Source organism: Homo sapiens, chromosome 19 (assembly GCF_000001405.40).
Source record: "Homo sapiens chromosome 19, GRCh38.p14 Primary Assembly".
NCBI lineage: Eukaryota > Metazoa > Chordata > Mammalia > Primates > Hominidae > Homo > Homo sapiens.
The window spans coordinates 6,707,996-6,729,765 of record NC_000019.10 but is presented as its reverse complement, the minus strand read 5'-3'; the positions used below and the strand labels follow the sequence as shown (position 1 = coordinate 6,729,765).

The 21,770-nt window shown below is 53.4% G+C and overlaps 1 protein-coding gene across 1 annotated transcript in view, besides 3 other annotated features; it reads left to right on the top strand.

The window, feature by feature from the left end:
* Window positions 883-1,382: an enhancer, noted in NCBI's record as "H3K4me1 hESC enhancer chr19:6728395-6728894 (GRCh37/hg19 assembly coordinates)". NCBI's record gives its function as "activates a minimal SCP1, AML or CMV promoter by ChIP-STARR-seq in naive H9 embryonic stem cells {active_cell/tissue: H9 hESC(naive)}" and the evidence as "EXISTENCE:reporter gene assay evidence [ECO:0000049][PMID:30033119]".
* Window positions 1,383-1,884: an enhancer, noted in NCBI's record as "H3K4me1 hESC enhancer chr19:6727893-6728394 (GRCh37/hg19 assembly coordinates)". NCBI's record gives its function as "activates a minimal SCP1, AML or CMV promoter by ChIP-STARR-seq in naive H9 embryonic stem cells {active_cell/tissue: H9 hESC(naive)}" and the evidence as "EXISTENCE:reporter gene assay evidence [ECO:0000049][PMID:30033119]".
* Window positions 7,824-7,903: an enhancer, noted in NCBI's record as "active region_13859". NCBI's record gives its function as "activates an Ori minimal core promoter by ATAC-STARR-seq in GM12878 lymphoblastoid cells {active_cell/tissue: GM12878}" and the evidence as "EXISTENCE:reporter gene assay evidence [ECO:0000049][PMID:35858748]".
* C3 (complement C3) overlaps window positions 9,116-21,770 on the top strand; it is a 42,947-nt gene continuing 30,292 nt past the window's right edge. The window contains exons 1-14 of the mRNA NM_000064.4: window positions 9,116-9,250; window positions 10,363-10,555; window positions 11,354-11,519; window positions 11,602-11,672; window positions 15,320-15,414; window positions 15,518-15,600; window positions 15,684-15,774; window positions 16,257-16,359; window positions 16,451-16,577; window positions 17,143-17,258; window positions 17,360-17,509; window positions 18,570-18,779; window positions 18,921-19,127; window positions 19,924-20,082. Coding sequence (NP_000055.2) covers window positions 9,177-9,250; window positions 10,363-10,555; window positions 11,354-11,519; window positions 11,602-11,672; window positions 15,320-15,414; window positions 15,518-15,600; window positions 15,684-15,774; window positions 16,257-16,359; window positions 16,451-16,577; window positions 17,143-17,258; window positions 17,360-17,509; window positions 18,570-18,779; window positions 18,921-19,127; window positions 19,924-20,082 — 1,845 coding nt within the window. The 5' untranslated portion in view covers window positions 9,116-9,176. The remainder of the gene's footprint in view (window positions 9,251-10,362; window positions 10,556-11,353; window positions 11,520-11,601; window positions 11,673-15,319; window positions 15,415-15,517; window positions 15,601-15,683; window positions 15,775-16,256; window positions 16,360-16,450; window positions 16,578-17,142; window positions 17,259-17,359; window positions 17,510-18,569; window positions 18,780-18,920; window positions 19,128-19,923; window positions 20,083-21,770) is intronic.

Genomic DNA, 21,770 nt, shown 5'->3' with positions numbered 1-21,770 from the left:
CGCCGTGACGGGAACTGCACAGGGCTCTGACCCGGCCTTGGGGGTCAGGAAAGGTCAGTAGAAACATGGCGGAAGAGCTCATGCCCAGATGAGGGAACCGCGGGCATGAAAGCTGGGGGCGAGGGGAGAACGGGGATTTGAAGGCCCCCAAGTGGCTCAGGCTACAGAGGAAAAGAAAGAATAGGCTGGGCGTGGTGGCTCACGCCTGTAATCCCAGCACTTTGGGGGGCCAAGGCGGACGGATCGTTTGAGGTCAGGAGGTCGAGACCAGCCTGGTCAACATGGTGAAACCCCGTCTCTACTAAAAATACAAAAATTTGCCGGGTGTGGTGGCAGGTGCCTGTAATGGCAGCTACTCAGGAGGCTGAAATGGGAGAATCGCTTGAGCCAGGGAGGCAGAGGTTGCAGTGAGCAGAGATTGCACCATTGCATTCCAGCCTGGGCAACAGAGCAAGACTCCATCTCAAAACAAATAATAATAATAGAAGCTAACCGGGCACAGTGACAAGTGCCTGTAGTAGTTCCAGCTACTCGGAGGTCAGTGCAGGAGTATCACTCAAGCCCAGGAGTTAAAGACCAGCCAGGGCAACAAGCGAGACCCCATCTCAAGAAAAGAAAAAATAATACGAGGTAACACAGAGTGATTGCTACGCCACGCTGTCTATTAAGGCTTCTGTGGATTTTAATTTGTTAAAAAGCCTGTGAGGCACAGAGAGGGTAAGAAACCTCCTTGAGGTCACACAGCTCATGAGTGAGTGGGAGACTCCCGGCTCAAAGCCAGACACTGACTATATGCATTGCTGCTCCATAGCTAGACTCCCTGGGACCAAATCTCTCAGCCTGTTGCCATTTGCTGTGTGACCCTGGATCACTGGCTTACTCTCTCTGTTTCCTTGCATATAACATGGGGCCTCCTAAGTTTGTTGAGTATCACATACAATAGCAGGCACAGCACCCAGCTGCACAGCCTCGACCTGATTTCTAGGGAACCAGCCCTGAATCTTGAGGGGCGACTGAGGAATTGGAGATCTGCTTGTGTGCACACTTAAGGGCAGGTTCCCAAGATGGGTCTCCACCCCCCACCCACCTGCCCTTCAACTAGAGCATCCAGAATGCCTTTTGGAGCTCGGAGAAGCCTTCCTCGCTGGAGACACAAGCATGGGACAGCGGCAGGGAACAGGGCTGGGGTGAAGGCTTCCTGTAAGCAGAAACAAATATAGCTGGGGCCCAGATGAATAAATAGCCTGGTCAGACAAAGAAGGAAGTGGGAGGCATTGCAGACTGGGGAAGTTACATGAACACGGCGGGGAAGGCTGGGATGGCCCGCGAGGCTGGAGGGGGCAGGAGGAGGGCGAGAGAAGCTGGCAGAGGCCTAAAGACAGGCAGGCACATGGGGCTTCATCCAGGGGTCCACAGGAGCCATGGAGGAATTTAAAGCAGGGAGGAGCATGGCCAGAGAGACTGCATGTGCATGCTGCAGTCGGCTGAGTCATGGTCCCCTCAAAGATGGGCACGTCCAGCCTGTGTGGTGGCTCACACCTGTCATCCCAGCACTTTGGGAGACCGAGGCAGACGGATCACTTGTCAGGAGTTCAAGACCAGCCTGGCCAACATGGCGAAACCCCATCTCTACTAAAAATAAAAAATTAGCTGGGCATGGTGGTGGGCACCTGTAATTCCAGCTACTCGGGAGGCTGAGGCAGGAGAATCACTTGAACCCAGGAGGTGGAGGTTGTAGTAAGCTGAGATTGCACCACTGTACTCCAGCCTTGGTGACAGAGCGAGAGACCTGTCTCAAAAAAAAAAAAAAAAAAAAAAGGTGTGCACGTCTGAATCCTCAAGACCTGTGGATATGATATGTTCTGTCACACGGCAAAAGGGACTTTGTGCATGGGATTAAGGCTCTTAAAATGGGGGAGATTATCTTGGATTATCTGGATATGCCCAATATCGTCACAGGGGTCTTTATAAGAGGGAGGTGGGAGGGTCAGAGTTAAGGAGACTCAGTGACAAAGGCAGAGACTGCAGTGATTCCAAGAAAGGGGCCACGAGCCAAGGAATGCAGGCGGCTCCTAGACACTGAAAAAGGCGAGGAAATGGGTTCATCTGTTTCCTCCAGAAGGGAACACAGTCCTGTTGACACCTTGATTTTAGACGTCTGACCTCCAGAACTGTAAGATAAGAAACATGTTGTTTTAACGCACCGAGTTTGCAGTCATCTTTTGCTGCAGCAGTTAAGAACTCATGCAGTTTAAGGGCACGTACTCTATAGGGCCCAGCTCTCTGAGTTCAGATTCCGGCACTTACCAGCCACAGGATCTCGGGCAAGCAGCCAAAGCCTCTGTTTCTTCATCTGTAAAATGGGGCAATGATAGAACCTATGGCATGTGGCATAAACAAGGGTTAAAATACGTGAAATAGATAAGTTGCTGCCACCCGCATCTCATAGGCGTTTGTGAGCGTCAGTGCGCTCATGATCGGTCAAAGGAATACAAAGGTAGGGTATTTGTTGTTGTTGTTGTTGTCTGAGACAGTCTCGCCCTGTCGCCCAGGCTGAAGTGCAATAGTGCGATCTCGGCTCACTGCAACCTCCACCTCCTGGGTTCAAGTGATTCTCCCACCTCAGCCTCCCGAGTAGCTGGGATTACAGGCATGTGCCACCACGCCCGGCTAATTTTGTATTTTTAGTAGAGACGGGGTTTCACCCTGTTGGCCAGGCTGGTCTCAAAATCCTGGCCACAAGTGATCCACCCATCTCGGCCTCCCAAAGTGCTGGGATTATAGGCATGAGCCACCACGCCTGGCCCAAAGGTGGATTTTAGAAAGGAAGGAGTCCCCAAGCCAGGCATGGTGACATGCACCTTGTAGTCCCAGCTACTCAGGAGGCTGAGGTGGGAGGATTGCTTGAGCCCAGTAGTTTGAGGCCAGAGTGGGCTATGATGGCACCACTGCACTCCAGCCTGGGCGACAGGGCCATACCCTGCTTTTAAAAGAGTAAAATAAGGCTGGGCGCGGTGGCTCACGCCTGTAATCCCAGCACTTTGGAAGGCCCAGATGGGCAGATCATTTGAGGTCAGGAGTTCGAGACCAGCCTGGCCAACATGGTGAAACCCCGTCTCTACTAAAAATACAAAAAATTAGCCGGGCGTGGTGGCTGGTGCCTGTCATCCCAGCTACTTGGGAGGCTGAGGCAGGAGAATTGTTTGAACTCAGGAGGCGGAGTTTGCAGTGAGCCAAGATCGCACCATTGCACTCCAGCCTGGGCGACAGAGCAAGACTCCGTCTCACAAATAAATAAATAAATAAAATTTAGAAAAATAAATTAAATAAATAAAAGTAAAGCGTCCCCAGCTGCTGCAGAGTAAATGGGCTGGTAAGGAGGAGGCTGGGGCAGAGGTGAGGGCAGAGATCACAGGTGTGGAGAGGGAGGATAAGCTGGGAGATTCCAGGCAGGGGCTTGGCCAGCAGGTGAATTCTGGGAATGAGAGGAAGGAAGGAGTCCAGCCTGGAAGCCTGGTGGGGCCGTCACCCAAGCAAGGCTGGGGTAGAAGACACGGGTATTTGCAAAAATAAAAATACAGTTCATCAGGAGTTCGAGATCAGCCTGGCCAACATGGTGAAACCCTGTCTCTACTAAAAATATAAGAATTAGCCAGGTGCGGTGGCGGGCGCCTGTAATCTCAGCTACTTGGGAGGCTGAGGCAGGAGAATTGCTGGAACCGGGCAGCGGAGGTTGCAGTGAGCCAAGATCGTGCCATTGCACTCCAGCCCAGGCCGACAACAGCGAGACTCTGTCTCAAAAAACAAAAACAAAAAGTACAGTTCAAGTGTACTGAGCGCTCAGTATGCGCAGGGCGCTGGGTTAAGGATTGTTTCCTGGGTGCCACTTGGGACTTCCACTCCAAGACTAGAAAGGAGGCTGTAGGCTGTGCATCTCCAGTTGATAGATTAGGAACCGAGGCTGGGAGGAGGGGTTGGACCTTCCCAGGGGCCCTGCAGAGCTGGAATCAAAACCCACTGCTCTCCATTTTCCCAGGGCGGGAGTCTATAGGGCCCCAGCTTGTTTCTGCTGAGTGTACCAGAGGGAGAGGAGGGAAAGAGCCATTGTTGCCAGGCAGATAGATTGATTCAGTCAGTCAGGTCAAGGTTAACTTGAATTAATCAGTAATAGGGTGGAAGAAGGGGATGGCCTTGCTGTGGGTTCTGGAGAAAAATTCTAGGAAAGCAGCCACCTCAGCCTGGAATTAGACGATGGGATAGGGGTTTCCCAGCTGCTCCCAGGCCTGGCTGCCCCTTTGTTGGGGAAGGGGAGGGATGGGATATAGGGGACAGTGAGTGAACTCAGGCAGGTGTGAGCCGGGGGCATCTGGGTCCCCCACCCAGAAATCATTCCCACTTCCTTCCTCTTATTTTCTTTCTTTTTCCTGTCTTGCTCTGTCATTCAGGCTGGGGGGCAGTGGTGCAGTCATAGCTCAGTGCAGCCTCTAACTCCTCCTGCCTCAGCCTCCCGAGGAGCTGGGACTGCAGGCACGCCACCATGCCCTGCTAATTTTTTTTTTTTTTTCAATTGTAGAGACGAAGTCTCACTGTATTTCTCAGGCTGGTCTCGAACTCCTGGACTCAAACAATGCTCTCACCTCGGCCTCCCGAAAGTGCTGGGATTACAAGCACGAGCCACCGCACCCTGGCCCCTTCTCATTTTCCCCTTGCACCCCAGCTAGGATTGCCAAACAGAATACAGGACGCTCAGTTACATTTGAATTTCAGATAAATAACAACTACTTTTTCAGTATATGTAGCTTCCAGATAACCCACGAATGGTCAGCCCGGTTGGCCACACTCTCCCTCCTTGATTCCGGGAATGCTGGGCTGGGTGGGCCTCAAAATGGAAAGTACCCCAACACACACCCAGACCTCCTTCTCTCCCTCCCCTGCTGGCTCATCCTTGTGCACTATCCCCCTCCCAAACCTCTGGACACCAATGCACATCTCCCAGAAAAAAGTCACGAGGTTCTGAAGAATTCCCGGTCTCATCTCCCTCCCTCCTTCCCTCCCAGTAGGCTACCATCTGCTCCAGCCTCCAACCCCCTCACTTCTCATCCTGCCCCTCCCCTCTGGTCACTTCTTGGAGGTCAGGGTAGGGCCAGACCCTTTCCAGGTTCAAGTGATTCTCCTGCTTCAGCCTCCCGAGTAGCTGGGATTATAGGCACCTGCCACCATGCTCAGCTAATTCTTTGTTGTTGTTGTTTGTTTTGTTTTGTTTTGAGACAGAGTCTCGCTCTTGTCGCCCAGGCTAGAGTGCAGTGGCACGATCTTGGCTCACTGCAACCTCCGCCTCCCAGGTTCAAGTAATTCTCCTGCCTCGGCCTCCCCAGTAGCTGGGATTACAGGTGCCCGCCACCAATCCTAGTTAATTTTTGTATTTTTAGTAGAGATGGGGTTTCACCATGTTGGCCAGGCTGGTCTTGAACTCCTGACCTCAGGTGATCCACCCATCTCGGCCTTCCAAAGTGCTGGGATGACAGGTGTGAGCCACCATGCCTAGCCAGCTAATTTTTGTATTTTTTAGTAGAAACAGGGTTTCACCATGTTAGCCAGGCTGGTCTCGAACCCCCGACCTCCAGCGATCCCCCAGCCTCAGCCTCCCAAAGTGCTGGGATGACAGGCGTGAGCCACCACACCTGGCCCCTCTGAGCCTGGTGGCTTCTAGGCATCCTGGTTTCTTTAATTGTCACAACAACCAGAACTATCTTCAGTCGCATTGTTTAGTTGGATTAACCGAGGCTCAGAGAAAAGAGGAACCCAGGCTTGCCGCTAGACAGAGGCCAGACAGGAATTCCTTCTCAAGGTTGTCAAACCACAGTGCCGAATGCTTGAGTCTAGAATGAAACCAGGAAATGGGGTGGCTTGAGGAGAAAGTGGGGGATAGAAGATGGAATGGGGCAATTGGGAGATCCAGTTTCTTTCCTTTTTTTAATTTTTTTTTTTTTTTTTGGCAACAGGGTCTCTCTCTGTCACCCAGGCTGGAGTGCAGTGGTGCAATCTCAGCTCACTGCAACCTCTGCCTCCCGGCTTCAAGCGATTCTCCTGCCTCAGCCTCCTGAGTAGCTGGGATTACAGGCACCCACCACCACGCCTGGCTAATTTTTGTACTTTCAGTAAAGACGGGGTTTCACCATGTTGGCCAGGCTGGTCTCCAACTCCTGGCCTCAAGTGATCTGCCTGCCTCGGCCTCCCAAAGTGCTGGGATTACAGACGTGAGCCACTGCGCCTGGCAAGGGGATGCAGTTTCAAAAGCTGAACCCCAATTCTGGAGAGCAAGCAGGTATTTTCATTCTCTCTCCTCCTCCTCCTCCTCTTCCAAAGAGTGTGTCGCAATCAGTGCAGACAGACGCCAGGTTTGTTCTCATGCTCCACGCCTCCCCCTACCCCTGGCACGGAAAAGAATGTGGTTTACAGGAAATCAGAGAAAACTCCCCATTAACCCCTTCAGTGGGGTTTCAGAAACCGCCTCTCCAGGGATAAGGGGGCCCCACCCACAGACCCTTCTCCTGCCCTCACCATCCACCTCGTATGCCTGGGCAGCAATGCTGCAGAACGTCAGAGGAATGCCAGTTAAAATGACACCGGCTGCCGGGGTGTGGTGGCTCACTTCTATAATCCCAGCACTCTGGGAGGCCGAGGTGGGCGGATCACCTGAGGTCAGGAGTTTGAGACCAGCCTGGCCAACATGGCGAAACCCTTTCTCTACTAAAAATACAAAAAATAAAAAATAAAAGAAAAAAAAAATTAGCCAGGTGTAGTGGCGCATGCCTGTGATCCCAGCTCTTTGGGAGGCTGAGGCAGGAGAATCACTTGAACCCAGGAGGCAGAGGTTGCAGTGAGCTGAGATGGCGCCACTGCACTCCACCCTGGGTGACAGCACAAGACTCCATTTAAAAAAACAAAACAAAACAAAAAAAATGACACCAGGGTACCAGTTTTCACCCATAAGGCTGGCAAAAATCTTCAAGTTCATCAACATGCCCTTGTGATGAGGCTGTGGAAGAAACTGACAATTCATTTCATGCAGGGCTCATAAGTGTGTAAATCAATACAACTTCTGTGCAGGGGAATTTGGCAATATCTAGCAAGATTACCAGTGCATTCAGAGATTGACCCAACATATTTCCTTTCATTGCAACGACAACTCTATGAAGCAGGTGGTAAGGGTTTCCTTTTCCATGAACAAACTGAGGCTCAGGGCGGTAATCAGTAGCTTACCCAAAGATCACAGCTAGTTTCAGAGCTAGAAAATAACGCAGGTTCAAGCTTATTCACTGCAGAGAGCCTGGTGTGAAGCCACAGATGTCAGTCTCTCCATCAAGAAGAGGCTGGTGGCTGGACACAGCGGCTCACGCCTGTAATTCCAACACTTTGGGAGGCCAAGGTAGGTGGGTCACTTGAAGTCAGGAGTTCAAGACCAGCCTGGCCAACATGGTGAAACCCCTTGTCCACTAAAAATACAAAAATTGCCAGACGTGGTGGTGCTCACCTATAATTTCAGCCATTCCGGAGGCTGAGGCAGGAGAATTGTTTGAACCCAGGAGGTGGAGGGTGCAGTGAGCTGAGATAGCGCCACTGCCCTCCAGCCTGGGTGACAGGGCAAGACTCTAAAAAAAAAACACTCAAACAAACAAAATATCCCCCAAAAAGTAGGAGGCTGGTTACTTTCTCACAATATAACAAGAGGCCTGTAACCTGTAAGAATGAGGCAGTTCTTTGCTCACTGAGGTGAAATAGCCTCTGAGGTATATTGTTCATGAAAAAACGAAACAAAACGAAACCCAAGATTTAACTGAAGAGACCAGGAAGAATAGTATGTGCTATGTGCTGTCCACAGGGCACAGTAGTTCACACCAGCACTTTGTGAGGCTGCTGCGGGAGGATCACTTGAGCCCAGGAGTTCAAGACTGGACTGGGCAACATCGTGGGACCCCCATCTCCACAAAAATAAAAAAATTATCCGGGCATGGTGGCGGCCACCCGTAGTCCCGGCTACTTGGGTGGTTGAGCCAGGATGATCACTTGACCCCAGGAGGTTGAGGCTGCAGTGAGCTGTGATTGCACCACTGCAATTTAGCCTGAGTGACAGAATGAAAAAAAAATTTTTTTAAAGGAAAACACAAAAAGAATATGCTGTCAACAGGGATGGGAGGAAGACCACCTTTACTGCTATACACATTTGTACCTTTTAGATGTTGATCAATATGAATATATTATACACACAGACACACACACAGACACACACACACACACAAACAATACAATTTAATATCCTAAGAGGATATTGACATTAGACAGGTACAAAAGCTCTAGAAATGAGGACTTTCCTCAGTGATGACTTTTTTCACCACCAAAGTCACTCAGGCATCCTGACAAGGGTAAGTGAGGGGAGCCTCCTTGGAAAATAAACTCACTTGGATAGTGAACTCCTGCACATACCTCAAAGCCCATCTGAAATGTCCCCTCCTACAGGAAGTTTTCCCTGACCCTCCAAGAAGCAGAGTTCTATTTCACTGGGGAAAACATTTCTTCTTCTTCTTTTTTTTCCCTGCCCTGCACATGAGCTAGAAAACATTTCATGAAACTGGGAGTTTCTGTGCTGGGCTCTGTCCCTCCCCCATTCTACTTCCCCTCCCTCAGCATGGAAGCCTCTGGAAGTGGGGCTCTGACTCCCAGCCTACAGAGAGATTCCTAGGAAGTGTTCGACTGATAAACGCATGGCCAAAAGTGAACTGGGGATGAGGTCCAAGACATCTGCGGTGGGGGGTTCTCCAGACCTTAGTGTTCTTCCACTACAAAGTGGGTCCAACAGAGAAAGGTCTGTGTTCACCAGGTGGCCCTGACCCTGGGAGAGTCCAGGGCAGGGTGCAGCTGCATTCATGCTGCTGGGGAACATGCCCTCAGGTTACTCACCCCATGGACATGTTGGCCCCAGGGACTGAAAAGCTTAGGAAATGGTATTGAGAAATCTGGGGCAGCCCCAAAAGGGGAGAGGCCATGGGGAGAAGGGGGGGCTGAGTGGGGGAAAGGCAGGAGCCAGATAAAAAGCCAGCTCCAGCAGGCGCTGCTCACTCCTCCCCATCCTCTCCCTCTGTCCCTCTGTCCCTCTGACCCTGCACTGTCCCAGCACCATGGGACCCACCTCAGGTCCCAGCCTGCTGCTCCTGCTACTAACCCACCTCCCCCTGGCTCTGGGGAGTCCCATGTGAGTGGTTATGACTCTACCCACAAACAGGGCTGGTTCTGGGGTGGAAGCAGACATTTGGGGGTCCAGGTCCCTGTAGAATTCAGGGTGCATTTGGGTGTTTGTGGATTCAGGGGTTAGCAGGTTGGGAATGATTATATATATTTGGGCTGCCTGTGAGTTTGGGTGTTTGTGGTTGGGTGTTTGTGGAATCCAGGTATCATGGAATTGGAGTTTATATACATTTGGGCTGCCTGTGAGTTTGGGTGTTTGTGGTTGGGTGTTTGTGGAATCCAGGTATCGTGGAATTGGAGTTTATATACATTTGGGCTGCCTGAGAGTTTGGGTGTTTATGGGTTGGGTGTTTGTGGAATCCAGGTATGGTGGAATTGGAGTTTGGGATGTTTCTAGAATTGAGGTCATCTGTTGGTTTAGGGTGTATGTGGTGTTCATTGATGGTGCGGTTGGGGGTGTTTGGAGACTCGGAGGTTTGGACTTTACAAGATTTGGGAGTTTGCAGCTTGGGGACTTGCAATTTTCAGTGTGGGTTTAAAGATTGGCTACTTCGGGTTCATGTATAGTTGGGGCATTTGGAATTGATTGTATTTATTAGGACTGGGGTGTTGGAGGTTTAGGCTGGGTTTGGGGTGCTCTAAGATTTGAGGTTTAGAGGTTTTGGCGTATGTGGGTTTGGGTAGGTAGAGTTGAGGGTGTCCGGGAGTTTGAGTGTTTACATATTTGGAGTGTTTAGAGAGGTAGAGGTTTAGGGTTTGGGGCATGTGTGGGTTTAGGCGATTGTGGGTCTGGAAGTCCAGAGACTTGGAGGAGTTGCTGACGCTGGTTGGAAGGTTCAGGGTTTGGTGGGATGTGTGGCCCCCTCGTTGCCCAGGCTTTCAAAGGCCAGGCCCAGCTGGCTGAGAGTGGGAGTCATGGTGGCTGCTGTCCTGCCCATGTGGTTGAGACGGTGGCAGTGCCCAGAGAAGATAATGGCATTGGCAAGTGCGCCGGCAGTCACTGGATCCTCTCCAGGACCAGAGGCTGGGGCACACAGCCTGCCAGGCGCTGACTCCAGTGAGGACTGGCGTCTCACATCCGTGGAATGACAAGCCCACTCCCGTGCCCCACTCCGACAGGTACTCTATCATCACCCCCAACATCTTGCGGCTGGAGAGCGAGGAGACCATGGTGCTGGAGGCCCACGACGCGCAAGGGGATGTTCCAGTCACTGTTACTGTCCACGACTTCCCAGGCAAAAAACTAGTGCTGTCCAGTGAGAAGACTGTGCTGACCCCTGCCACCAACCACATGGGCAACGTCACCTTCACGGTGAGTGCAGACTGGCGCAGGACCCGGCTGACACCCACAGCCACGCCCACTCCCCCCCTCCTCCTGAGCCCCTCCCCTTCTGTCTTCTCCCTTTCTAAGCCCTGCCCTTCCCTGAGACTCCACCCCTTCGGAGTCGCCTCTCCTTCTAAGCCCCTCCCTTCTCTGAGACTCCACCCCTTCTGAGTCTCCTCCCCTTATAAGCCCCTCCCTTTTCTGAGACCCCCCCCCACCCCTTCTGAATCTCCTCCCCTTCTAAGCCCTGACCTTCCCTGAGACCCCACCCCTTCTGAGACTCCTCCCCTTCTGAGTCCCTCCCTTCCCTGAGACCCCACCCCTTCTGAGGTTCCTCCCCTTCTCTGAGACTCCACCCCTTCTGAGTCTCCTCCCCCTCTAAGTCCCTCCCACTGAATTCCTTTTCCAAGCCCCTCCCCCTCGAAGTCTCCTCTTCTGAACTCCTCCCCTCTTAGTCTCCATCACTTTCTAAGTTCCCTCACCTGAGTCCCTCCCCCTTTCTGAGCCCCTCCCATGTCAGCCCCTTCCCTTTCTGAGTCCCCGCCCCTTCTGAGCCCCTCCTCCTATAAGCTCTCTCCTCCTTGTGAGCTCTTCTTTTTGAGTTCCCTCCCTGGTCCCCCCTCTCCCCTCGCACCTCCTTCACATGCCCCTCCCTCCCCAAAACGGCCACCTCGGAAGACCAAGAATAATGGGCAGGCAAGGAGGGACCCAGCCCAAGATCCGGAAGCTGGACCGTGGGCATGGGGCCTTGGAACAGACCCCTGACAATGCCCTGCCCACGCCTAGATCCCAGCCAACAGGGAGTTCAAGTCAGAAAAGGGGCGCAACAAGTTCGTGACCGTGCAGGCCACCTTCGGGACCCAAGTGGTGGAGAAGGTGGTGCTGGTCAGCCTGCAGAGCGGGTACCTCTTCATCCAGACAGACAAGACCATCTACACCCCTGGCTCCACAGGTGAGGCTGGGGGCGGCTGGAGAGGGCGGGGCACCGGCGTGGGCGGGCTAGGGTCTCACGAGGCCTCTTTGTCTCTCCCCAGTTCTCTATCGGATCTTCACCGTCAACCACAAGCTGCTACCCGTGGGCCGGACGGTCATGGTCAACATTGAGGTGCCAGCCAGAGGGGGCCCCAGGGGAAGCAGGGGCACAGGCTTAGGAGAGGCAAAGAGATCGAGAGAGACAGAGAAAGACACACCGGAAGGGGTGCAGTGGCAGAGACACAGAGGCAAAGAGATATGCAGACACACACCCACACAACACACACACATACAGCACACAACATGCACACACACAGCACACAATACACACACAGAGGCAAAGAGATATGCAGACACATGTGCACACACAATGCACACACACAATGCAACACACACAAACACACAACATACACGACCACACAACACACACAACACAACACACAACACAATACACACAGCACAACGTGCATGACCACACACACAACACACAACACACACAACACAATACACAACATACACAACCACGCAATACACACAAAACACACACAACACAACACAACATACATAACCACACCACACACAACACACAACCACACAACACTATCACACAACACACACAAACACACACAACACACAACACACACAACACACACAAAACACAACACACACACAACATACACAACCACACAACACACAACCACACAACATACACGACCACACAACACAGTGCACACAAACATAGCACACACAACACACAACCCAACACACAACCACACAATACACCATATGGCGCGCACACACACACACACACACACACAGGCTGAGAGACAAGGTGGAGATCCAGGGAGACCCCAGGGAGCAGTGCAGGTGTCCGTGGATTCTGCTTTCAGTTAAACCCCTGATCACTTCACCTCCCTGAGCCTCAGTTACCTTATCTGAATATCGGGATCATGACGGATAATTGTATGTCATCTATTCTACCGACGGCAGCCAGAGGACGCCTGTGAGCACCTGAGTCAGGGCCCATCCCTGCTCTGCCTACAGCCCTCCATGGCTCCCACCTTCCTATGCGTCAAAGCCCAAGTCCTCCCTGCAGTCCACAAGGCCCTGCACACCTTGCCCTGTCCCTTCCCTGCCCTCCCCTCCTCCCTCTCTCCCCCTCGTTCACTCTTCTGGAGCCACACGGGCCATCCTCCCTGTTCCTCCAACACCCAGGTGCAGTCCTGCCTTGGCGCCTTGGCACGGGCTGTGCCCTCTTCTCAAGAAAACCCTCTTCTTCCAAATATCCACACAGCTTGTTCTCTCTCCTCCTTTAAGTCTTTGCTCAAATGTCACCAATGTCTCAATTTTACAATGAGGTCTCTCTGAGTAACCTATAAAGTCGCAAATACCCACCCTGAGCGTCCCCCCTCCCCGCTACACACACTCCTCCTTCCTGCCATGTCCTGCAAATGAGATTTATTCATTTGATAATTGCTTCTCCCATCGCCTCGCCCTCTATTGAACCTAAATCCCTCCAGGAAGGAATTGTTATGTTTGTTGAGGGTTTTGTCACCTGAACTCAGCACAATGCTGGTATATAGTTGGGTTTAATAAAAAACTTACTGGAAGAAGCGAGAAGGATGGGAGGAGAGAAGGGGAAGGAGGGTGTTCTCATAGAATTATCATGAGGATGTGTTGAAATCATACAAGGCTAGGTGCAGTGGCTCACACTTGTAATCCCAGCTGTTTGGGAGGCCAAGGCGGGAGGATCGCTTGAGCCCAAGAGTCCAAGACCAGCCTGGGCAACACAGCCAGACCCTGTCTCTACAAAAAAGAAAAGTTAAAAACAAACAAAAAAACAGCTGTGTGTGGTGGTGCTTGCTTGTGGTTGCAGCTACCCCAGGAGGCTGAGGCAGGAGGATCACTTGAGCCCAGGAATTCCAGGCTGCAGTGAGCCGTGATCGCACCACTGCACTCCAGCCTGGGTGGCAGAGTGAGACCCTGTCTCAAAAAATAATTGGGGCAAATGCAATGGCTCAAGCCTGTAATTCCAACATTTCGGGAGGCAGAGGTGGGAAGACTGCTCGAGGCCAAGAGTTCAAGACCAGCCTGGGAAAGCTAGGGAGACTACATCTCTACAAAAAAAATGTAAAAATTATCTAGATTTAGGGATTGATGTGGTCTGTGGGGAACAGAGACCACACATCTCTTGTAAAGGCACAACAGTTGCCCAGCTCCAATTAGATGTCTCCTGCTAACCAGAGTACACTATCCACAGAAATTTCCTTGTTTCCAACAGAAGCTAGAAAAACAGATTTTTGGCCAGGTGCAGTGGCTCACTCCTATAATCCCAGCACTTTGGGAGGTGGAGGCGGGCAGATCACGAGGTCAGGAGATCGAGACCATCCTGGCTAACACGGTGAAACCCCGTCTTTATTAAAAGTACAAAAAAAAAATTAGCTGGGCGTGGTGGCGGGCACCTGTAGTCCCAGCTACTCGAGAGGCTGAGGCAGGAGAATGGTGTGAACCCGGGAGGCGGAGCCTGCAGTGAGCCGAGATCTCGCCATTACACTCCAGCCTGGGCGACAGAGCAAGACTCCGTCTCAAAAAAAAAAACAAAAAAAACAAAAAAAAAACAGATTTTTATATGTTTTAATTCCTAAAGCCAGCTCACGGCCTTCAGATATGCCACTTGCCTGATCCCTGTTACCTCTGTACAATTTCTTTTAAACTTATTTATTCATTCATTCATTCATTATTATTATTTTTGAGACAGGGTCTCATTCTGTTGCCCAGGCTAGAGTGCAGTGGCACAATCACAGCTCACTGCAGCATTGACCTCCTGGGCCCAAGCTGTCCTCCTGTCTCAGCCTCCTGGGTAGCTGGGACCACAGACGTGCGCCACCACATCCAGCTAATTTTAAAAAATTTTTGTAGAGATGGAGTCTCCCTACATTTCCCAGGCTGGTCTTGAACCCTTGACCTTGAGCAATCTTCCCACTTCTGCCTCTCAAAGTGCTGGGATTACAGGCTTGAGCCATTGCGCTCGCCCTAATACATTATTTTTTGAGATGGGGTCTCGCTCTTTCACCCAGACTGGAGTGCAGTGGTGCAATGATGTCTCATGATGTTTAAATGTTGGCAGCAAATGAAATGACACTACTAGTTATTAGTATTCAGAGAGACACTGAAAAAATGAGCCCCTACTCATATGAACTATGTCCCAAGCCAACACAGTAGGTGCCATTATAATCTCCTGTTTCAAGATTTGCACATTGAGCACAGAGAGGTTAGGTAACTTGCCCAGGGTCACACAGCTTGTAAGTGGCACAGTAGAGATTGAAACCTAAGGTTGACTGACTCCGGTCCTTGTTCTTTTTTTCGAGACAGACTCTCACTCTGTCTCCCAGGCTGGAGTGCAGTGGAGTGATCTTGGCTCTCTGCAATCTCCGCCTCCCGGGTTCAAGCGATTCTCCCGCCTCAGCCTCCTGAGTAGCTGGGATTACGGGTGCCTACCACCATGCCTGGCTAATTTTTGTATTTTTAGTAGAGACAGGGTTTCATCACGTTGGCCAGGCTGGTCTTGAACTCCTGACCTCAGGTGATCTGCCCGCCTCAGCCTCCCAGAGTGCTGGGATGACAGGCGTGAGCCGCTGCGCCCACCTGGGTCCCTGTTCTTAACCACAGTAGACACTGTGCACAGAGAATGTCCAGACACAGGTCGGGGAGAGCTGAGAGGCTAAGCCCAGCCTCCGAAGAGCCACTTTATCCTCTATCCTTCCCTCCTGCCTCCCACAGAACCCGGAAGGCATCCCGGTCAAGCAGGACTCCTTGTCTTCTCAGAACCAGCTTGGCGTCTTGCCCTTGTCTTGGGACATTCCGGAACTCGTCAAGTATGTCAGGTTCTTGAGGAGGGGGCTCAGGGCTCCCCTATCCCCGGAGAGGGAGCAGGGGGGCTCCGAGGCCTGAGAGACCACTCATCCGCCCTCCTCACAGCATGGGCCAGTGGAAGATCCGAGCCTACTATGAAAACTCACCACAGCAGGTCTTCTCCACTGAGTTTGAGGTGAAGGAGTACGGTAAGAGGAGGAGGGGCTGGGGGGAGTCAGTGCCCAGAACGCCTGGCCCAGCGCCGGCCCCACCAACGCCATCTCTCCCCCAGTGCTGCCCAGTTTCGAGGTCATAGTGGAGCCTACAGAGAAATTCTACTACATCTATAACGAGAAGGGCCTGGAGGTCACCATCACCGCCAGGTGAGGGACTGGGGGTGGGGCCAGGTAAGAGCCAGGTGAGGGACCAGGTGAAGACCAGGTGGGGGACTGGGGGTGGAGTCAGGTGGGGGGCTGGAGATGGGACCAGGTGGGGGGCTGGGGGTGGAGTCAGGTGGGGGGCTGGGGGTGGGGAAGGTGGGGGGCTGGGGGTGGGGCAAGGTGAGGGGCTGGGGGTGGGACCAGGTGGGGGGCTGGGGGGTGGAGTCAGGTGGGGGCTGGGAGTGGGGAAGGTGGGGGGCTGGGGGTGGGGCCAGGTGAGGGGCTGGAGGTGGGACCATGTGGGGGGTGGGAGTGGGGCAAGGTGGGGGGCTGGGGGTGGGGCCAGGTGAGGGGCTGGAGGTGGGGCCAGGTGAGAGGCCAGCAGTGGGTTGGGGGCTCCAGTCTTCAGCACAGGCAGGAGAAGCTGGGGGAGATCCCATTCTCCAGGAGGGATGGACCTGAAGCCCTCCTTGTCTGTCCCGTAGGTTCCTCTACGGGAAGAAAGTGGAGGGAACTGCCTTTGTCATCTTCGGGATCCAGGATGGCGAACAGAGGATTTCCCTGCCTGAATCCCTCAAGCGCATTCCGGTACCATAGACGGAGGCCGCTTTGATCCCTGCCCCAGTCCCCGCCACCTCTGAGCCCGCTCCCCTCTCTGAGCCCTCCTCTCCCTTCTCAGATTGAGGATGGCTCGGGGGAGGTTGTGCTGAGCCGGAAGGTACTGCTGGACGGGGTGCAGAACCCCCGAGCAGAAGACCTGGTGGGGAAGTCTTTGTACGTGTCTGCCACCGTCATCTTGCACTCAGGTGAGGCCCAGTCTGAAGGCCAGGCTCAGGACCACCAAGTGGGCCGGTCTGAGAGGGGAGACCAGGTCAGAAGAGAAAGCCTAGTCTAAGGAGGGAGGCTCAGAGTGAAAGTGGGGTTCAGTCTGATGGGGTAGGCCCAGTCTGAGAGGGGAGGCCGAGTATGAAGATGGATTCCAGCCTGATGGGGGGAGGCAGGGCCAGTATAAAGGTGGGGTCCGGGCTGATGGGGGCACAGGCCCAGTATGAAGTCTGTGTCCAGTCTGATGAGGGAGGCAGGGCCAGTATAAAGATGGGTCCAGTCTGATGGGGGAGGCAGGGCCAGTATAAAGGTGGGGTCCGGTCTGATGGGGGTCACAGGCCCAGTATGAAGTCTGTGCCAGTCTGATGGAGGAGGCAAGGCCAGTATAAAGGTGGAGTCCAGTCTGATGGGGGGCACAGGCCCAGTATGAAAGTGGACTCTACTCTGAGGGAGGAGGTCTAGTCTGAAGTTGGGGTCCATTCTGAGGGAGGAGGTCTAATCCTGAGGGGTGGCCCAGAAGCCTACACTCACAGCTGGTCCCCTCAGGCAGTGACATGGTGCAGGCAGAGCGCAGCGGGATCCCCATCGTGACCTCTCCCTACCAGATCCACTTCACCAAGACACCCAAGTACTTCAAACCAGGAATGCCCTTTGACCTCATGGTGAGACCCGGGGCGGGAAGGGGTCCCACTCCTCCCTTCGGGGACACCGGCCACAGCCCTGAGCCTGCCTGAACTTCCCCCACCTGCACCCCACATCACAGGTGTTCGTGACGAACCCTGATGGCTCTCCAGCCTACCGAGTCCCCGTGGCAGTCCAGGGCGAGGACACTGTGCAGTCTCTAACCCAGGGAGATGGCGTGGCCAAACTCAGCATCAACACACACCCCAGCCAGAAGCCCTTGAGCATCACGGTGCGTCTGGGCCCAGCCTCGGAACCCCATCACTGGGAAGACGGTACAGGGGTTCTGGTGTTTGCACAGTGGGGTCCTGTCATTTGCATACAGATATTCTCATCTGCATAGAGAGGTTCTCTCCTGCGCAGAGGGGTCCTGCCATTTGCATAGAGATACTCTCATCTGCATAGAGGGGTTCTGTCCTGCACAGTGGGGTCCTGCCATTTGCATAGACATTCTCATTTGCCTAGAGGGGTTCTGTCCTGCACAGTGGGGTCCTGCCGTCTGCATGGAGGGGTCCGCAGTTTGAGGAAACAGGAATCTTCCTCTTGCATGCCCTGCTCCTTCCACTTACACGGAGAGGCGCTCCATCCACGCACAGTCTTTCCACTCCCATGGGGGAAGGAGCCTGAATCTCACAAGGAGGGTTGTGTAGTGTTTGGGACAGGCCCATTGTTGTGAGGTGGTCTCAGTTCTCCTGGCTTCTGTGCACGTGGCTCTGTTGCCCCTCACTGGGAGGGAAGCAAGTCTCATGACAGCTGCGGAGGTTGCAGATGGCCTCCCAGTCCCTCTGCAGCTCCCAGGCTGCGCACCCCACTTACCCCTCCCTGTGCTCAGCATGTGCGTGAATTTCCGGTGGCTACCATGAGAAATGGCCACAGCCTAGTGATCTAAAGCAACACACATTTATGGGTCTATAGTTTGAGAGGTCAGAAGTCCTGGCTCTGGGGGAAAGTTCGCTCCCTTGCTTTTTCCAGTGTCGCCAGGGCACCCTAAAGGCCTGGCTCATGGCCCCTTCCTCCACCTTTAAAGGCAGCAGCATAGCATCTTCCAGTGTCTCTCTTTCTCTCTGTCTCTGTCTCTCCTTTCTCCCCTGCCCCTGCTTAATAAAGACCCTTATGATTACATTAGCTCCACCTACATAATCCAGGATAATGATTCCATCTCCAGATCCCTAACTTAATCCCATCTGCAAAGCCCCTTTTGTTAAGAAAGGCCACCAATTCCCAGGTCTCAGGGATTCGGGTGTGGGTATCCTCGGGCGGCGACCAGCAGGCATCCCTCTTTCCCCACCCAGGTGCGCACGAAGAAGCAGGAGCTCTCGGAGGCAGAGCAGGCTACCAGGACCATGCAGGCTCTGCCCTACAGCACCGTGGGCAACTCCAACAATTACCTGCATCTCTCAGTGCTACGTACAGAGCTCAGACCCGGGGAGACCCTCAACGTCAACTTCCTCCTGCGAATGGACCGCGCCCACGAGGCCAAGATCCGCTACTACACCTACCTGGTCCGTGGCCACCTGGAAACCTCAGCCCCCGCCTCCTCCTTGTTTCTTCCGCACCCCTGGGACTCCTTCCCCCATCCCGGATCCCTCCCTGCGTTCCCTGCCACTCACCCTCCCCAGCCTGATGCCAGCCTGTCCCCCCAGATCATGAACAAGGGCAGGCTGTTGAAGGCGGGACGCCAGGTGCGAGAGCCCGGCCAGGACCTGGTGGTGCTGCCCCTGTCCATCACCACCGACTTCATCCCTTCCTTCCGCCTGGTGGCGTACTACACGCTGATCGGTGCCAGCGGCCAGAGGGAGGTGGTGGCCGACTCCGTGTGGGTGGACGTCAAGGACTCCTGCGTGGGCTCGGTAAGTGTGCCCTGGGCTCGCTCGCCCCCTCTCCCTCTCCCTACTCCTCTCTCTCTCTCTCTCTCCCTGTCTCCTCTCTCTCTCTCTCTCCCTTTCTCCTTTTCTCTCTCCTTTCTCTCTCTTCTCTTCCTCTCCCTTTCTCTCCTCCCTCTCTGTCTCTCAACTGTCTCTCTTTTTATCTCTCTTTCCCTCTCTCTACATCTCTCTTTCCCTCTCTCTTTATTTCTCTTTCCTTCTCTCTCTCCCTCTCTCGATCTCTCTTTCTCTCCATCTCTCTCCTTTTCTCTCTCCCTCTCTCTCTCCTTTTCTCTCTCCCTGTCTCTTTCCCTTTCCCTCTCTCTCCCCTCTCTTTCTCTCCCTCTCTCTTTCCCTCTCCCTCTCTCTCTCCCTTTCTCTCTCTCCCTCTCTCTCCTTCTCTCTCCCTCTTTCTCTCCTTCTCTCTTTCCCTCTCTCTCTCCCTCTCTCTTTCCCTCTCTCTCCCTCTCCCTTTCTCTCCCTCTTTCCCTTTCCCTCTCTCCCCCCTCACTCTCCCTCTCTCTGTCTCTCCGTCTCTCTCCCTCTCTCCCTGTCTCTCCGTCTCTCTCCCTGTCTCTCCCTTTCTCTCTCTCTCCCGCCCTCTCTCCCTCTCTCTCCCTCCCTCTCTCCCTTTCTCTCTCTCTCCCTCTCTCTCCCCCTCCCCAGCCCCACGGCTCCCCCCAACCTTTCTGTCTTTCCACTCTAGCCCAGCACCCACTCCATCCCAGGCACTCCTCTCTCCCAGGGCTGACTTCTTTCGGCGTCTCCACCCTCCCCACAGCTGGTGGTAAAAAGCGGCCAGTCAGAAGACCGGCAGCCTGTACCTGGGCAGCAGATGACCCTGAAGATAGAGGGTGACCACGGGGCCCGGGTGGTACTGGTGGCCGTGGACAAGGGCGTGTTCGTGCTGAATAAGAAGAACAAACTGACGCAGAGTAAGGTAAGGGCCAGTGACCCAAGGCTGCTGAGAAGAGGCGGAGGCACGGAGCTGGGGCTGGGGGAGGTGGGTGGGACTGGAGAGGGCAGTGCAGTGGGGGGCATGCGCTGAAAGCAGAGATCGGAGCAGACCAGACACAGGGATGGTTGAAGCTGAAGATGGGAATGAGGTTGGACATGGGTTCCAATTGGGGATGGTCCTGAGAATTGGACTTTTTTTTCTGTTTGTTTGTTTGTTTTTGAGACAGAGTCTCTCTCTGTCACCAGGCTGGAGTGCAGTGGCACAATCTCGGCTCACTGCAACCTCTGCCTCCCAGGTTCAAGCGATTCTCCTGCCTCAGCTTCCCTAGTAGCTGGGACTACAGGTGCCCATCACCACGCCCAGCTAATTTTTGTATTTTTAGTGAAGACGGGGGTTTCACCATGTTGGCCAGGATGGTCTCGATCTCTTGGCCTTGTGATCCACCCGCCTCGACCTCCCAAAGTGTTGGGATTACAGGCGTGAGCCACTGCGCCCGGCTGAGAATTGGACACTTTCAACTGGGGCCCTGAGAGGCTGGTGGCAGCACACCCAGGGTCATTCAGTGGGGAAGGTTTCCGGAGTAGGGACGAAGATGGAGATGGGGTTGGCTTGGGATCAGGAGTGAGGATGGGAATGCAGATGGAATCAGAGGGGAAATGGAGATAAGATTTGGAATGGAGGCCAGGTGCGGTGGCTCACGTCTGGAATCCCAGCACTTTGGGAGGTCAAGGTGGGAGGATCACTTGAGGCCAGGAGTTCAGACCAGCTTGGGCAACATGGCAAGACCCCATCTCTACAGAAAAAATTTTAAAATAGCTGGGCATGATGGCGCATGCCTGTAGTCCCATCTGCTCAGGAGGCAGAGGTGCGAGGATTGCTTGAGCCCAGGAATTTGAGGCTGCAGTGAGCTATGCCTGCACCACTGCACTCCAGCCTGGGAGACAGTGGAAAATCCCAACTTAAAAAAAAAAAAAAAGAATGGAAAGAAAGGAGGAAAAAAAAAGAAGAGAGAGAGAAACAGAGAGAAAGAAAAAGAAAGGAGATAAAGAGGAAGGGAGGGAGGGAGTGAAGAATGAAGGAAGGAAAGAAGGAAGGAAGGAAGGAGGGAAGGAGGGAAGGAAAGGGGGAGCAAAGGAAGGAGGAAAGGAGGAATGGAGGGAGGAAGGGAGGGAGAGGAAGGAAGGGAAAGAAAGAAGACAGAAAGAAAAGAAAAAGAAGGCCGGGCATGGTGGCTCACTCCTGTAATCCCTTTGGGAGGCCAAGCACTTTGGGAGGCCAAGACAGGCGAATCATTTCAGGTCAGGAGTTCGAGACCAGCCTGGCCAACATGGTGAAATCCCGTCTCTACTAAATATATAAAAATTAGCTGGGCATGGTGGCATGCACCTGTAGTCCCAGATACTCGGGAGGCTGAGGCAGGAAAATTGCCTGAACCTGGGAGTTGGAGGTTACAGTGAGCGGAGATCACACCACTGCACTCCAGCCTGGGTGACAGAGCAAGACTCCATCTCGAAAGAAAGAAAGAGAGAGAGTGAGAAAGAGAAAGAAAAAGAGAAGGAAGGAGAGAGAAGGAAGGAAGGAAAGAGAAAGAGAAAGGAAGGGCAGAAGCAGGAATGGGGGAGATGAGAGTGGGACAGGGTGGGGTCATTTGGGAAGAGATACACAGGTGC